This window comes from Homo sapiens, chromosome 17 (assembly GCF_000001405.40).
Source record: "Homo sapiens chromosome 17, GRCh38.p14 Primary Assembly".
In the NCBI taxonomy this organism is placed as follows: domain Eukaryota; kingdom Metazoa; phylum Chordata; class Mammalia; order Primates; family Hominidae; genus Homo; species Homo sapiens.
The window spans coordinates 74,388,982-74,404,884 of record NC_000017.11 but is presented as its reverse complement, the minus strand read 5'-3'; the positions used below and the strand labels follow the sequence as shown (position 1 = coordinate 74,404,884).

Below are 15,903 nucleotides of genomic sequence, written 5' to 3'. Positions count from 1 at the left end.
ATGTTTGCTATTTGGCTCTTTACAGAAAAAGTTTGCTGAGCCCTGAACTGGGGAGGAGGTGGGGCCTCAGGATGCTCTCTGCATGAGATGGTTTCTGTCTGGGATCCTGATGGAAGAGGGGAGAGATTTGTGTTTCCAATCAGAGAGAGTTCGTTGGATGGGGTATTTGTGTCTGTGTCCCAACCCCATGTGCTGAACTTGTTCAGGAGGGGAGCAGGGTGGGGGTCTGAGTGGTGCTGACTCAGGACTGGGTCCTCCTCACTCCTTCTCAGGGGCCACCCTGCTCACTGAGCAGCTGTAGCCCCCCTGAGGCTCGGGACAGCCGCTAGCGCAGGACAACTTGTGCCCCCTCCCCCGCAGGTCCAGGTAGTGGTAGGAGGACAGGACAGAATTTGTTTTCAGCACACAGGAATCCTACCCCCACCATAAATGTCTGCAGAGCCTGGGGGCAGGAGGTGAATTCCTGAGTGAGCCCCTAATGAGCTCATCTGTGAATGCGACCTGGTTGGTGGGGCTGGCTAGAGAGGCTGGGCTCCCTGCCGTCCCTGCCCTCTCTCCCCACTCCACAGAGAGAGGTCCTAGGGGTTCTGCCCTCCTGTCATTGGTCAGAGTGACAGTCAGGACTGCCCCATTAGGAACAGCGGTGGTCTCTTTCTTGGGTGCCTTTTCTTGCTACTGGGGTATCCTGGGTTCTCCACGGGCGGCACCCCCAGCTATTTTCTCAGATGTGGGAGGGGCTCTGGGGAAGCGAAGGCCTGCCCTGGACGGATCTCAGCCACATGGGGAGATCAGAACACGCATTCCACCTGCAAGCGGCTTCCAAACAGCAACTAAACACGTATAGAGGCACACGACCCCATTGCTCCTTGCTGCCCGGTGAAGTTGTGCCAGCCTCTGGCTGTGTCTTTGTGCCTGGAGTACTTCTGGCCAGGCTGGCCACTGCACCTGCTGAGCCATTGGCATGCCCTGAGCCCCCAGCTGCACCAGCTCCTTGGGAGGATGGCCTCTGCGCCCAGGTCCCTTTCTCTGGTGGGCTGCTGTCCCAGCGATTGATTTTTTAATGTGTTTTGTGCTGACTCTATTCTGTTCAGCAGCAGCGCTCTCTCTGGCACCACAGTGCCTGCCTGCAGGCTGGGCTGGCCAGATAGCCAGGGAGAAACACATGCTCCATGCCTGGGAGGCTCAGAGGAAGGAGGCAGGAGCCAGACTCACAGTCAACAGGAAGCCATGGAGGGGACCTCAACCCAGGTCCACATCCTAGCTGATTTCATCAACACCCTCAGGTTTCAGATATCCATGGGCTCAGCCCATCATGCTGTGAAACCGAAGCAAGCGACTCTGAGCTAAGCAACCCACAACACAGGCTAAGAAGGGTAACTGGCAGCTTAGCAGGGCTGGAGACTTTTGAAGACCACAAAACACATTATTACATTAACATACATGTGAACATTTACAAACTTTTTTTTTTTTTTTTTTGGAGACAAGATCTTGCTCTGTTGCCCAGGCTGGAGGGCAGTGGTACAATGAAGGCTCACTGCAGTCTTGACCTCCTGAACTCAGGCAATCCTCCCACTTCAGCTTCCCAAGTAGCTGGGACTATAGGTGTGCACCACCATGCCCAGCTAATTTTTTTTTTTTTTTCGAGACGGAGTCTCGCTCTGTCGCCCAGGCTGGAGTGCAGTGGCGCGATCTCGGCTCACTGCAAGCTCTGCCTCCCGGGTTCATGCCATTCTCCTGCCTCAGCCTCCTGAGTAGCTGGGACTACAGGCACCCGCCACCACGCCCAGCTAATTTTTTTGTATTTTTAGTAGAGACGGGGGTTCCACCGTGTTAGCCAGGATGGTCTCGATCTCCTGACCTCATGATCTGCCCGCCTCGGCCTCCCAAAGTGCTGGGATTACACGCTGAGCCACCACGCCCGACTGCCCAGCTAATTTTTAAAATTACTTACAGACATGGGGTTCCACTCTGTTGCCCAGGCCGGTCTCAGACTACTGAGCTCAAGGGATCCTCTCACCTCAGCCTCCCAAAGTGTTGGAATTACAGGTATTAGCCACCGTGCTGGCCTATTTTTTATTATTCAAATTAGAGATGGGGTCCTGCTACATTGCCCAGGCTGGTCTCAAACTCCTAGGCTCAAACAATCCTCCTGCCTCGGCCTCCCAAAGTGCTGGGATTACAAGTGTGAGAGCCACCATGCCTGGCCTACAAACTTTTTCAATCACAAAAGGAATCCGTATTTGTTAAAACATTTGGAAACAAGATCAGAATTAATCGAAGACAAAAGCGGAATAACCGCAGTTCTCTCCATTCGCTCCCATATCCTCTTCCCTAGAGAAGCCATTCTGAACAGTTTGGGCTGCCTCTTTCCAGATGTTTCCTAGAAAACTTGCTTGATCATTTGAGTCTTGCAACAATTCCATGAGATGAGCAGGTCAGATCGCATAGTTGCCAGTTTATAGGTGAGCACAACGGGCTTAAGGAAGTCATTCTTTGTCCCAGGTATAGCAGTAAGCCAGCGACAGAGCCAGAAGGAGCTCCTACATCCCAGGCCTCACCCATTTCTCTTTCCCCTGGGACTGGCTGTCTTAATGAGTGGCCCATGACTTCTCTTCCTCAAGCAGATCGTCTTGTTGCACAAGCAGAAAACTCAGAGGCCTGGTTTCAGGTAGTAAACAAGACAGCGACCAGCTCTAGAGGCCTCTGCTCTCCAGGCCTCTCAGGGATGCAGGGAGGGCCGGAGCAGGGGAGTCTTCCCAGGTCCAGGACCGGGGAGCTGGGAGTGGAGGGGCAAAGGACAGCTGGCTCCCCAGTCCCAGGAAGAAGGCCAGTAGGACTCTTTTAGTGATTCCCACTCACTTCAATCCTTCTCTTAGTTTTGGTGTTGAGTGGCAGCCTCGTCTGTTCTAGAAACCAGAGAATTGGAGGGCAATGTGTTCAGATCTGACAATCCCAGAACAAGACAAGATGAACTCTTGCTCCACTTTTAGAAGAAATTGTATGAGCAGTTTCAGGCAAGTTATTTGACCTGATGAAAAACATGTTTCAGAAGGATAAATAATATCTTCCAAGACGAGTCAGAAGTGTTCTTACCATTTTGCTGTCAAAAAAAGTGAATATAACTTGGCCTTGCAAACTAGTGGAGAACAAAATGCACAGACCAGCTCCACAGTGAGAAAAGAAAGCAAATCTGCACACTTCATGTTCCTTAGGCAAAAGGCAATCTGTTCTCCCAAGAAGCAGGTGAATGGCTGTTTTTTTTTTTTTGAGTTTTCTATAAAAGCAGCATTTCTCCCTTCCTTGGAACCTACCCAAAGGTTCTACCTAGAACTCTGAGTGTCAAAATCCTACTTAGAACAAAGAGTAAAATGGGGTCATCATAAGCCTATGCCTCGTAAAAATAAGTTAAAAAGAAGGAAAGGTTGGCTGGACGGGTGGCTCACGCCTGTAATCCCAGCACTTTTGGAGGCCGAGATGGGCGGATCATGAGGTCAGGAGATCGAGACCATCTTGGCTAACACGGTGAAACCCCGTCTCTACTAAAAATACAAAAAATTAGCTGGGCGTGGTGGCAGGTGCCTGTAGTCCCAGCTACTTGGGAGGCTGAGGCAGGAGAATGGCGTGAACCCAGGGGGTGAAGCTTGCAGTGAGCCGAGATCATACCACTGCACTCCAGCCTGGGCGATACAGCAAGACACTGTCCCAAAAAAAAAAAAAAAAGAAGAAGAAGGAAAGGTTGTAGATATAGATAGATGATTCTAAAATGTCTACGGAAGGGCAAAAGAATTGGAAAAACCAAACAATTTTGATAAAGAAGGATAATAAAGCAACAGGACTTACAATCACACTACTCTGCTTGAAGACTTATGGTGAAGTGGCAGTCATCAAGACAATGTGGTATTGGCAAATGGGTAGAGGCCAGCAGTCAATGAGAGAGACTAGAGAACACAGAAATAGACCAAACACAAATAAGCCCAACTGATTTTTGACAAAGACGTCAATTCCATCAGTTTTGACAAAGACGTAATTTAATGAAGGAGAACAATCTTTGCAACACATGGTTGCAATGATTGACATCCGTATTTTAAAAAGTGGGGGGGGGCACCTCAACCTAAATCTCACACCTTCCTCAAATGTTAACTTTTATTATTATTATTTTGAGACAGAGTCTTGCTCTGTTGCCCAGGCTAGAGTGCAGTGGTGCCATCTCAGCTCACTGCAACCTCTGCCTCACAGGTTCAAGCAATTCTCCTGCCTCAGCCTCCCGAGTAGCTGGAATTACAGGCACCCACCACTGTGCCTGGCTAATTTTTGTATTTTTAGTAGAGACGGGGTTTCACCATGTTGGCCAGGCCGGTCTTAAACTCCTGACCTCAAGTGATCTGCCTGCCTTGGCCTCCCAAAGTGCTGGGATTAGAGGCGTGAGCCACCATGCCCAGGCAGTCTGTAGTATCTATAACAGCACAAAATGGAGTAAGGCATTGAACTTCACCAAAATTAAAAATTTTTGCTGTGTGAAAGACACTGCTAAGAGAATGGAAAAACAAACAATAGAATGAGAGAAGATGCAAATCACATATTCCACAAAGAAACTTGCATCCATAATATATAAAGAACCCTTAAAATTCAACAGTAAGAAATAAAGAAATCCAACTTTAAAAGGGGCAAAAGATTTGAATAGACACTTTACCAAAGAGGATACACAGATGGCAAATAAGCTCATGAAATGATATTTAACATGACTAGCCGTTAAGGAAATGCAAATTAAAGGCATAATGAGATACCACCACATGTCTAGTATAATGGATAAAATTAAAAAGATAGACAATGTCAAACACTGCCAAAGATGTAAAGCACCTAGAACCTTCAACATTGTTGGTGGAAATGCAAAATGGTAAAGTCACTCTGGAAAACAGTTTGGCAATTTTTTTATAGAGTGGAACATACACGTATCATGCATTAGTCTGCTCTCATGCTGCTAATAAAGACATACCAGAGGCTGCGTAATTTATAAAGGAAAGAGGTTTAATTGACTCACAGTTCTGCATGGCTCGGGAGGCCTCAGGAAACTTACAATCATGGCGGAAGGGGAAACAAACATATCCTTCTTCACATGGCAGCAGCAAGGAGAAGTGCAGAGCGAAGGAGGGGAAAGCCCCTTATAAAACAATCAGATCTCGTAAGAACACGCTCACTATCATGAGAACAGCAGCATGGGGCTAACTGCCTCCATGATTCAATTACTTCCCACCAGGTCCCTCCCATGACACATGGGGATTATGGGAACTACAATTCAAGATGAGATTTGGGTGGGGAGACACAGCCAAACCATATCATACCACATGACCAACAACTTCAGTTCTGTGTATTCCCAAGACCAGGGTTTCTCAGCCTCAGTGCTATTGATATTTTGGGCCAGATCATTCCTTGTTGTAGGGACTGTCCTATGTATTATAGGTTGTTTAGCAGCATCCGTGACCTCTGCCAACTAGATACCAGCAGCACTTCGCCTTGACAATCATAAATGTCAGAGCCATTGCCAAATGTCCCATGGGAGGCGAAATTGCCTCCAGTTGAGAATTACTGCCTAGAGAAATGAAAACTTTTGTTCACACAAAAACCTCTGCACAAATATCTATAGCAGCTCTATTCATAATCACCAAAAACTGGAAACAACCCAAATGTCCTTCAATGAATGAATGGATAAACAAACTATGGTATCCCCATAATTAAACGAAATGAACTATTGATATACACAACACCTGCGATGAACCTCAAAGGCATTATTCTAAAGAAAAGAGCCAGTCAAAAGGTTATATCACGTAAAAGTCCATTTCTATGACGTTCTCAAGAAGACAAAATTACAGAGAACATGTTAGCCATTTCTAGGCAGAGGCTGGGGTGGGGAAAGAATGTGGCTCCCTGAAGGGGACTCTTGAGGAGGTTTCTTGGGGCGATGGAACTAGCTGTATCCTGATTGTGAAGGTGATTATGCAAATCGAAACAACAACAACAACAAAAATCAACTTTACTATATATTAATTTTATTTATTTATTTATATTTATATATTTTTATTTTCTGAGACAGTGTCTCACTCTGTCTGCCACCCAGGGCCCAGGCTGGAGTGCAGTGGTGCGATCTTGGCCCACTGCAACCTCCATCTCTCAGGTTCAAGTGATTCTTCTGCCTCAGCCTCCTGAGTAGCTGGGATTACAGGCACCCACCATCACATCTAGGCTAATTTCTGTATTTTTAGTAGAGACAGGGTTTTACCATGTTGCCCAGGCTGGTCTTGAACTCCTGACCTCAAATGATCTGCCCTCCTTGGCCTCCCAAAGTGCTGGCATTACAGGTGTGAACCACTGTGCCTGGCCAGTTTTACTATATATTAATATTTAAAAGTAAATAGAAATAAGGAAGGGGAGGTGAATTAAGAAAAAGGAAAAAAAAATTTTTTTTTTTTTTGAGACAGGGTCTCGCTCTGTCCCCCAGGCTGGAGTGCAGTGGTGTGATCACGGCTCACTACCGCCTCAACCTCCTGGGGCTCAAGCAATTCTCCAACCTAGCCTCCCTAATAGAGGCATGTGCCACCACATCTGGCTAATTTTGGGATTTTTTGTAGAGGCAGGGTTTTGTCATGTTGCCTAGGCTGGTCTCAAACTCCTGGGCTCAAGTGATCCTCTCCTCTTAGCCTCCCACAGTGTTGGGATTACCGCTATAAGCCACCGCACCTGGCCTCACTCTCTGCTTCAAAGATAGCACCTTCTTGCTGTGTCTTCACAGGGCAAAAGTGAACAAGCTCCCTCCAGCCTCTTTTTTTTTTTTTTTTTTTTTTTTTGAAACAGTATTTCATCTTGTTGTCCAGGCTGGAGTGCAATGGCACGATCTTGGCTCACTGCAACCTCCACCTCCTGAGTTCAAGCGATTCTCCCGCCTCAGCCTCCTGAGTAGTTGGGATTACAGCATGCACCACCATGCCCGGCTAATTTTGTATTTTTAGTAGAGACGGGGTTTCTCCATGTTGGTCAGGCTGGTCTCCAACTCCCAATCTCAGGTGATCTACCCGTCACAGCCTCCCAAAGTGCTGGGATTACAGGCATGAGCCACCGCACCCAGCACTCCAGCCTCTTTTATAAGAGCACTAATCACCTCCCAAATGCCCCACCTCTTAATACCATCACATTGGAGAGTAAGTTTCAACATATGAATTTAGGTGGGGCACAAACAGACCACAGCACAGTCCAAAAAGTAACTCCCCTAAAAGTCACTCAGGTAGGATGTAGCTGAGCTAGAATCTGACGCCATTCTCTGACAGCTGGTTCCTGAGCCCATATGTACTGTGGTCTAGATCATGTTCTAGGTGGAAATGGGGATAGCAGTGACCCAAGACCCCAGGTCTTGTCTGCTATAGAGTGAGGTAGAAAAAACCATGTGATGGGGAGCCCGAAAACCTGGATGCAGCCGGGCCTGGTGGCTCATGCCTATAATTCCAGCACTTTGGGAGGCTGAGGCTGAAGGATCACCTGAGGTCAGGAGTTCGAGACTAGCCTGGCCAACATGGTGAAACCCTGTCTCTATTAAAAATACAAAAATCAGCCGGGTGTGGTGGTGCATACCTGTAGTCCCAGCTACTAGGGAGGCTGAGGCAGGAGGATTGCTTGAACCCTGGCGGCAGAGGTTGCAGTGAGCTGAGATTGCACCACTGCACTCTAGCCTGGGTGACAAAGGAAAACCCTGTCTCATAAACAAAACAAAACAAGGCTGGGTGTGGTGGTCATGCCTGGAATCCCAGCACTTTGGGAGGCCGAGGCAGGTGGGTCACCTGAGGTCAGGAGTTCGAGATCAGCCTGGCCAACATGGTGAAACCCCATCGCTACTAAAACTACAAAAATTAGCCAGATGTGGTGACGGGTGCCTGTAATCCTAGCTATTCAGGAGACTGAGGCAGGAGAATCGCTTGAATCCAGGGAGGTGGGGGTTGCAGTTAGCTGAGATCGTGCCACTGCACTCCAGCCTGGGCAACAGGAGCAAAACTCCATCTCAAAAAACAAAACAAAACAAAACAAAACAAAAATACCTGGTTGTGAGTCTTGGCTCAGCCACTTGCTGTGTGACTTCCACAAAGTCACCTCCCCTCTCTGAGCCTCCATTTCTTCATCTGAAAAGAAAGGACTGCCTCTGGATTGAAAGCAGCAACAGAAAAGGAGAAACTGTTTGCAAAATATGAATGTAAAATGGAATGATCGCTTCCCTCCACCACCTCGTTCTATCCTGGAACTTGCTTGCCTCTCAAGTACTGGTGTCATTTTATTCCATTACCGAGCCAGGGGTTCACCATTTTTTTTTTTTTTTTTTGAGACAGAGCCTCACCCTGTTGCCAGGCTGGAGTGCGGTGGCGCGATCTCGGCTCACTGCAACCTCCGCCTCCCGGGTTCAAGCGATTCTCCTGCCTCAGCCTCCCAAGTAGCTGGGACTACAGACAAGTGCCACCATGCCCAGCTAATTTTTGTATTTTTAGTAGATACGGGGTTTCACCATGTTGGCCAGGATGGTCTCGATCTCTTGACCTCATGATCTGCTTGCCTCGGCCTCCCAAAGTGCTGGGATTACAAGCGTGTGCCACCATGCCTGGCCTCACCTTTTAAACTGTTTATTTTTTTAAAATAAGTAACATGTTTGCCTAGTTCAAAAAAATTTTTTGAATTTTTATTGTTTTTAGAGATGAGGGTCTCACTGTGTTGCCTAGGCTGGAATGCAGTGGCTATTCATAGACCCCATCATGGCTCACTGTAGCCTTGAATTCCAGGCTTCGAGTGATTCTTCTGCCTCAGCCTTCCAAGTAGCTGGGACTACAGGCACGTGCCACCCGGCCCAGCTAACATATTTTAAAATGCTCAAGTTACAAAAAGGTATATGCTTGCCTCTGTATAGCTAATGAAACCAATCTGGGGTATCCATCCGGAGATATTCCTTAGCACACACATTAGACCAGCATAGACATTGCTTCTCTGTTACCCTCCTTTACCCAAATGGGAGTGTGCCATTTCATCCATTCATCGAGAATTGAAACCAGCCAGCCCCACAGCCCGTTCTGCTCCTCAATTTCTTTTGTTTTGTTTTTCCTCTTTCCAATGTATCTAGGACACGGTTCCATACTCGTCCATCAATGGTTCCAATTATCTGTTCTGCCTACTGTGATCCATCGCATGGGGACACCGCAAGTGTGGAACCAGTCACCTATGTAGGAGCCTCCAATCCTTTGTCATTATTACAAACAATGCTGCCTGGGTCATGTCATAAATGTGCACGCATAGCTAGGTGTTCCGTTTGTACAGGTAGAATCGCTGGGTCAAAGAATTTGTGCACTTAGTGGATAGATATTGCCAACTTGCCTTCCGAGGAGATTGTATCATTTTACAGCCTGCTAGCAAAGCGGGAGAATGGCCTCCCCTTCTTGCCAAGTGAGTGTGTCCTGAAAGCTTGCATCTCTGCCAATCTGCTCTGTGGAAAATGGGGTCTGGGTATAGTTTTCATTTGCACTTGTCTCCTGCTAAATGAGGTTGAGCGTCTTTTCAGCGTCCAGCCCTATGGCTGGCTCCAGGTCCTCTCCGTACACAGCCTTAAGGCTGTGGCCTTGCCTGTGACTGGCTCTGCAAGATCCAGGACCAGATTTGTGTTTCTATCTTCCGGCTTCTCGCTGAGTCACTCCCAAGAAGGAAAGGGCAGCAGGCTCAGGTTATTTCTGCCTGGGCCATCTGAGCTGCCAGTCCTGGGAAGACCTTGGCCTCCTGCACTCCCAGTGGGCGCCCGGCACCTGTGCATTGCACCTGTCAAACCCAGGCTTCCTGGTCCCCCTGGGAGGGATAGGGGCTGGCAGATAGGGATCAGGCCAGACATCTTTGTAAACTAGGCATGAAAGGACCCAGCTAGACTGCAAGAAGGAGGATTTGGAAGAAAGCAAAATGTCACTAAGCTCTAAGTGACAAAATGAGAGCAATGAGGCTGAGTGGAGGGAAGAGACTTAGGCTATTGAGAGGACTTTGGGCAGAGAGGGTGGTGAGCCACCGCCGAGGGATGGTAAACTTGGGAACAGCTCTCACTGGAAGTCACGTGAGACGCACTGTGTAGCTTCCACCCTGGCTCCGTGGCTCATCGTCACTTCAGGGTTAGTGCTAAGAGTTGCCTAGGGTGGGAAGTAGAGACAGCCTCTTGCCTGTGCATGGAGAATTCAGGCCACGCATGCGACCAGCCAGAGGCCTGGGGAAGCCCCTCTCTCCACAGGGACCCTCTCTAAGCAGGGTCTGGGCATCTGCGGGGCAGCTCTGGTCAGGTGGTTGTAATTTAAGCTCGGGGCCACCCTGTACGTCTGGCTGAGTCTTGCTCACGGAAGGATGAGAGAAGCCAGGAGAAGCTGGTGGCTGGATTCCTGGGCCCCTAGGGAGTCTGCAGCCTGTTATTTCCTGACTCAAACAAAAAGTAAATTTGCACTGGAAATTGCTGAGGCAGAGTCATCCTGGAGCTCCTTGAAGGATGGGGACTTGTAATTTTCTAACTTCCAGGGCCTCTGACCCCTGGTTGCTGGGCTTTTCCATCTGTGAGCTTCATTGAAGACCCTGGGGCCTAGTCTAGGCTCAAACACCATCCACAGTCAAAGCTCCCCTGCCTGCTCTGCTGGGGCCGGCAATCCCGAGCTGGACTTCAGAAGTGGACAGGGAGAGAGGTTTGCTGTATCTGGGACCCCATTTCAGTTCCATCCAGGTGTCCCATGCTGCTGTGTCAGAGGGAAGATGAGCCACTGCTGATCTTTACCCCAGCCCTGACCAGAGACCAACACCGTTGCGGCAGGTGGCATCCCAGGTGGTGGGCAGGCAGTGTGGGGCCACCTTCCTGAAGCCAGCTTCTCAGAGTCTCTCAATGCCACATTACCAAGCAGAGTTTTCAATAACTGTAGCTAGGGATGCTCTCCTCCCCCCAGTTCTTCAGTCTCTCTGGGGGAAAAACACAAAAAGTTGAGGTTGTCCCTGGGGCCACCACGAAATGCTTAATTGCTTTCTGAGAGAATTGTCACCTCTTTCTGCTTTCCTCCCCCTCTCCACTGCTCTTCTCTCCTCTCCTCCGACCACTGGAGGCTCTTGCTGGGGGAGCTGGGGCTGAAGACATGAGCTCCCTGACTGTGTCCCAAGGGAACCGGGAGCATGTGCTGACTCGCAGTCTGCGTCTCCAAATATATTGCTGCACCACCTTTGCTGAAAAAAAGAACCCTATGTTTTGGGGGAATAAATGTTCTTTTTGCTGTGAGCCAGGCACTCTTTGACAGCAGATGGATGATGGCCCAGGCCAGCTGAGTCAGCCAGACTTTGGAGCAAGCAGTGTGAACCAAGACAGGGATGGGAGCCAGCCGAGGAAAGTGAGGTACAGGGATATTTGAAGGTTTTCATCCTGGGAGTTTAGTCAGCACCTTGTGCAACTTGATTTACACTGGGGGCCAAAGAGGGATGTGTATTATGAAGGGTAAGCTAAAAAGCAGTCACAGATAGACTCCCAAATGTATAATAGCTCAAATACCTTAGGAATTTATTTCTTAGTCACATAACAGACCAAGACGAGCGTTCCTGATTGGTCAGTGGCTTTCCTCCACGTGGTGATTCAGGGACCCAGGCTCCTTCCATCTCAGGGCTCTCCCCTTCCCCAGGGTCTCGTTGGTACCTATATCCAGCTGGCAAAGAGGAGGGAAGTGATGGAGGAAGCACACCTGCTTCTGATGCCTTGGCTCAGAGGGGCTGCACAGCTTTTCTGCTCACATTCTACTGGTAGGAATTTGTCACGTGGACACACCCAGTTGCAAAGGCAGCTGGGAAATGTAGTCTCTGCTCTTAGTGACAATACTGTGCTATGAAAGGGGTGTGCAGATTTTGGTAGACAGCTAACCATCTCTGCCACACGTCCTAAATCAAGCCATTTAGGTCACAAGACCGGGAGAGAGAGCAAGTCATTTTGAGTTTCTGTTTTTGAGACAGGGTCTCACTCTGTCACCCAGGCGGGAGTGCAGTGGCATGATCATAGTGCACTGTAGCCTCAACTTCTTGTGCTCAAGCCACCCTTCCACCTCAGCCTCCCAAGAGCTGGGACTACAGGTGCATGCCACCAGGACCAGCTAATTTATTTTTATATTTTGTAGAGACAGGGTCTCCCTATGTTGCCCAGGTTCGTCTCAAACTCCTAGGCTCAAGCTATCCACCCGCCTTGGCATCCCAAAATGCTGGGATTACACGCACGAGCCACCGCGCCTGGCCACTCTGGGTCTTTAATTAGGGAGTCCTGCCTGAGTAACTTGCTAAAAAGGATTTTCCTTTTGCCAAGGATTGGAAGATCCAACAGCATCAGAACTGGGCAGAAATACAGGGGAAAATTAACAGAGAAGAAAACTAATAAGAAACCTGGATAATGATAATAAGAAGCTGTGCGATTCCCCTGCAATTGGTTTATCTGTACATAGTTCATGCCCAAACTTCCCAGCCTGAGCACAGAAGCTTGGGCCTCTGGCAGAAACCGTGCGAGCAAAGATGTGGACGGTTCTCTGTGGAGGAGGGGCACAGCCAGAGTGCAGGGTGAGGCTGCAATTTCAAGGCTGTGGGAGAAATCAGAAGGCCTCATTTGCCTCCTCCCCTGGGATCAACATCCATGCCCTGGAACCTTCACTGTGCAGGCACCTGTATTAGGTATTATTTCTGCATAACAAATTGCCACAAATTTAGCAGCCATTTATTTGCTCACGGTTCTGTAGGTTAGCCATCTGGGGCAGGCTTCACTGGATCTCTGCTTAGGATGTCAGGAAGCCAAAATCAAGGTGTTGGTCAGCCTGGGCTCTCATCCAGAGGCTCTAGGGAGGAATCGACTTCCAGGTTCACTTAGGTTGTTGACAGAACCCACTTCCTTGTGGTTGCAGGACTGAGGTTCCTGTTTTCTTGCTGGCCGTTGGCTGGGCGTCTCTCTGAGCTCCTTGGGGCTGTTCACAAGTCCTTTCCATGTAATGCTTCCTGCATCTTTAAAGCCAGTGAACGTGCATCCCATTCTTCTTGTGCTTAGAATCTCTCTGACTTCCCTTCTGCTATTGGAGAAACTCTCTGCTTTTAATAAGCTCGTGGGATTAGATCCAGCCCACTCAGATAACTGACCTACTTGGAGATCAACTGATTGGTAATGTTAATTACACTGCAGATCCCTTCTGCCATATAATATAATATCATCAAGGGAGTAACACACCCAGGGACAGAGATTGTGAAGCCATCTAAGAATTCTGATTCCCATAATGTCCAAAGCTGTGGGTCTGGGACCCAGAATGGCCTACATTGAAGCTAAAAAGACTTTTGCTTTCTGGCCAAAGAGTTGCCCCACTTGGTTGCACCCAACCATGGTGAGGTAATTGCTGGGCCTGGTCCCAGCTCTTCCCATATACACAGGAGATCTAGAGACAGAGAGGAAATGGCCCCTCCCCCTGAAAGCTCCTTTCTCTTGTCAAAAGACAAAATTACAACAAATTTAAAGATCTTAATTGGCTTTTACTTGGATTCTAGAATTGGGCAATATCTCACCTTACACTATAGAATGAGTGTTCGGATTGAGCTGAGCAGTAGAGGTTGGCTTTGAAAGCAGAAACAGAACAAACATCAGATTTCAAAGTTATTTTCCTTGTAAGATTAAAGCAGAGGGGACTTCCTTATCATGCTGGCTAAAACTGGCCTGTTTGGGGATCTGGCTATTATCCCTCACTCTCCTGATGTCTCAGAATGTCAGATAAACAACTTAGTGTCAGCTGGGTGACGCAGAACTTCAGCATGAATGATTCCATTTCGGTTTGGTCTGCTGGGCCTCGTGCAGGAGCTCAGCCCAAGCCAATGGCTTCCTGTACATTTCATCAAACACCCTCAGAGCCCCATGGAGACCGTACATCCTGAAGAGGGGGCTCAAGACTGTGCGGAGCACTCTGAACCCAAAAGAAATACAGCCTGGTGGCCAGTGCGGTGTCTCTCACCTGGAATCCCAGCACTTTGGGAGCCCAAGAGTTCGAGGCCAGCCTGGGCAACATAGTGAGACCCCAAGTTGCTACCAAAATTTAAAAATTCGCCAGGTGCGGGGGCGTGTGCCTGGAGTCCCAGCTATTCAGGAGGCTGAGGTGGGATGTGGAGGCTGCAGTGAGCTGTGGTCGTGTCACTGTGCTCCATCCAGCCTGGGTGACAAAGTGAGACCCTAGCTCAAAAAATAAAAATAAAAATAAAAACAGAAAGAAAGGAAGAGAAAGAAAGAAAGAGGAGGGAAGAAAATAAGGAGAAAAAGAAAAAAAACAAAAAAAAAAAAGCAAAGAAAATAAGGAGAGAAGAAAGGAAGGAAGGAAGAAAGGAAGGGGAGAAAGAAAGAAAGGAATGAAAGAAGGAAGGAAGAGAGAAGGAAAGGAAGAGAAAGAAAAAGAAAGAGGAAGGAAGGAAGAAAATGAGAGGAGAGAGAGAAAGGAAGGAAGGAGAGAAAGAAAGAAACAAAGAAAGAAAGGAATTAAGGAAGGAAGAGAGGAGGAAAGAAAGAAAGAAAAAAAGAAAAAGAAGGGAAGGAAAGAGAAAGAAGAAGGGAAGGAAAAAGAAAAAGAAGGGAAGGAAAGAAGGAAGGAAGAAAGAGAGAGGAAGGAAGGAGGTAAGGAAGGGGGAGAGGAAGAGGGAGAGAAAGAGAAAGGAAGGAAAGAAGGAAGGAAGGAAGGAACAGAGAAGGAAAGGAAGAGAGAAAGAAAGAAAAGGGAAGGAGGAAGAAAATAAGAAGAGAAGAGAGACGAAGGAAGGAGAGAAAGAAAGAAAGAAAGAAAGGAAGGAATGAAGGAAGGAAGAGAGAAGGAAAGAAAGAAGAAGGGAAGGAAAAAGTAAAAGAAGGGAAGGAAAGAAGGAAGGAAGAAAGAGAGAAAGGAAGGAAGGAGGTAAGGAAGGGGGAGAGAAAGAGAGAGAAAGAGAAAGGAAGGAAAGAAGGAAGGAAGGAAGGAAGGACGGGATAAATACAGCCTGCCTGGTCCCACTACCAGGGATCTCACCCACTAATGGCCCCAACCTGCCTCCCTGATACTCCCCCACCCTCAAACTCTGGTCTCATGCCCTGAAGACAGCCTTGGAGTTCTCCAATCTCCCACCTGCTTGCCTCCCCACTCCCCCCATACCCCCTCTTAGGGAAGGGCAGGCCTGGGCACAGTGACTTCAGGACTTGGCTCTTCCTGGGCATTCCCGGGCTCACCTCCTGGCCACCCAGATGGTGCCCAGCCCAGAGAGGCAGCTCCTGGCCTGTCCCCCGCAGATAGCCTGATATTGGGCAGGGTAGGGCAGGGCAAAGAGGAGGGGGAGGACCCTGCTCACGGGGCATCCCACAACCATCTCTCAACCTGGCCTCTTGCCTGGCTGTGGGCATCCAGATTCCTTGAGAGTCTGCCCTTAACGCGTTTCCAGGGCTTTGCTTAACGTGCTTCTAGCTCCCTTCAATGCTATTATTTGTAGCAAGGCCAAGCGGGAGCCTCCTCTCCCCTCACCCAGGCCCCTCTCCCCTACAGTTACACAAGAATGTAGGCACCTGCAGCGAAAACCACCAAAAGCGTTTTCTTAGCTGCAGGGCCTCGCCCTGGGGCCCCACTGAGCAGAACAACCATTTGCGCAGCTCCCTTCTCCTTCTGGCTCATGAGCTGATATCTCAGACTCAACCTTGGCATTCCCCTTCCTTGTCGAGTTTCAGGTCCTGGAAGATTTGAAAAGGGCCCTCCTCTTTGCAGTCAAACAACTTAATTCGAAACTCCCATGCAAAGTCAACTACTTGGTCTTGTGGCCTTTTCTTCCCTCTGGGATAGCAAGAGGCATGGCAGGACTGTCTGCAGGAACAAGGGG

General features: G+C 48.6%; 3 annotated features.

Moving 5' to 3' along the window:
• Positions 341-635: an enhancer, noted in NCBI's record as "tiled region #691; HepG2 Activating non-DNase unmatched - State 21:Repr". NCBI's record gives its function as "activates a minimal TATA promoter and a strong SV40 promoter by Sharpr-MPRA in HepG2 cells {active_cell/tissue: HepG2}" and the evidence as "EXISTENCE:reporter gene assay evidence [ECO:0000049][PMID:27701403]".
• Positions 9,741-10,241: an enhancer, noted in NCBI's record as "H3K4me1 hESC enhancer chr17:72390783-72391283 (GRCh37/hg19 assembly coordinates)". NCBI's record gives its function as "activates a minimal SCP1, AML or CMV promoter by ChIP-STARR-seq in naive H9 embryonic stem cells {active_cell/tissue: H9 hESC(naive)}" and the evidence as "EXISTENCE:reporter gene assay evidence [ECO:0000049][PMID:30033119]".
• Positions 10,242-10,742: an enhancer, noted in NCBI's record as "H3K4me1 hESC enhancer chr17:72390282-72390782 (GRCh37/hg19 assembly coordinates)". NCBI's record gives its function as "activates a minimal SCP1, AML or CMV promoter by ChIP-STARR-seq in naive H9 embryonic stem cells {active_cell/tissue: H9 hESC(naive)}" and the evidence as "EXISTENCE:reporter gene assay evidence [ECO:0000049][PMID:30033119]".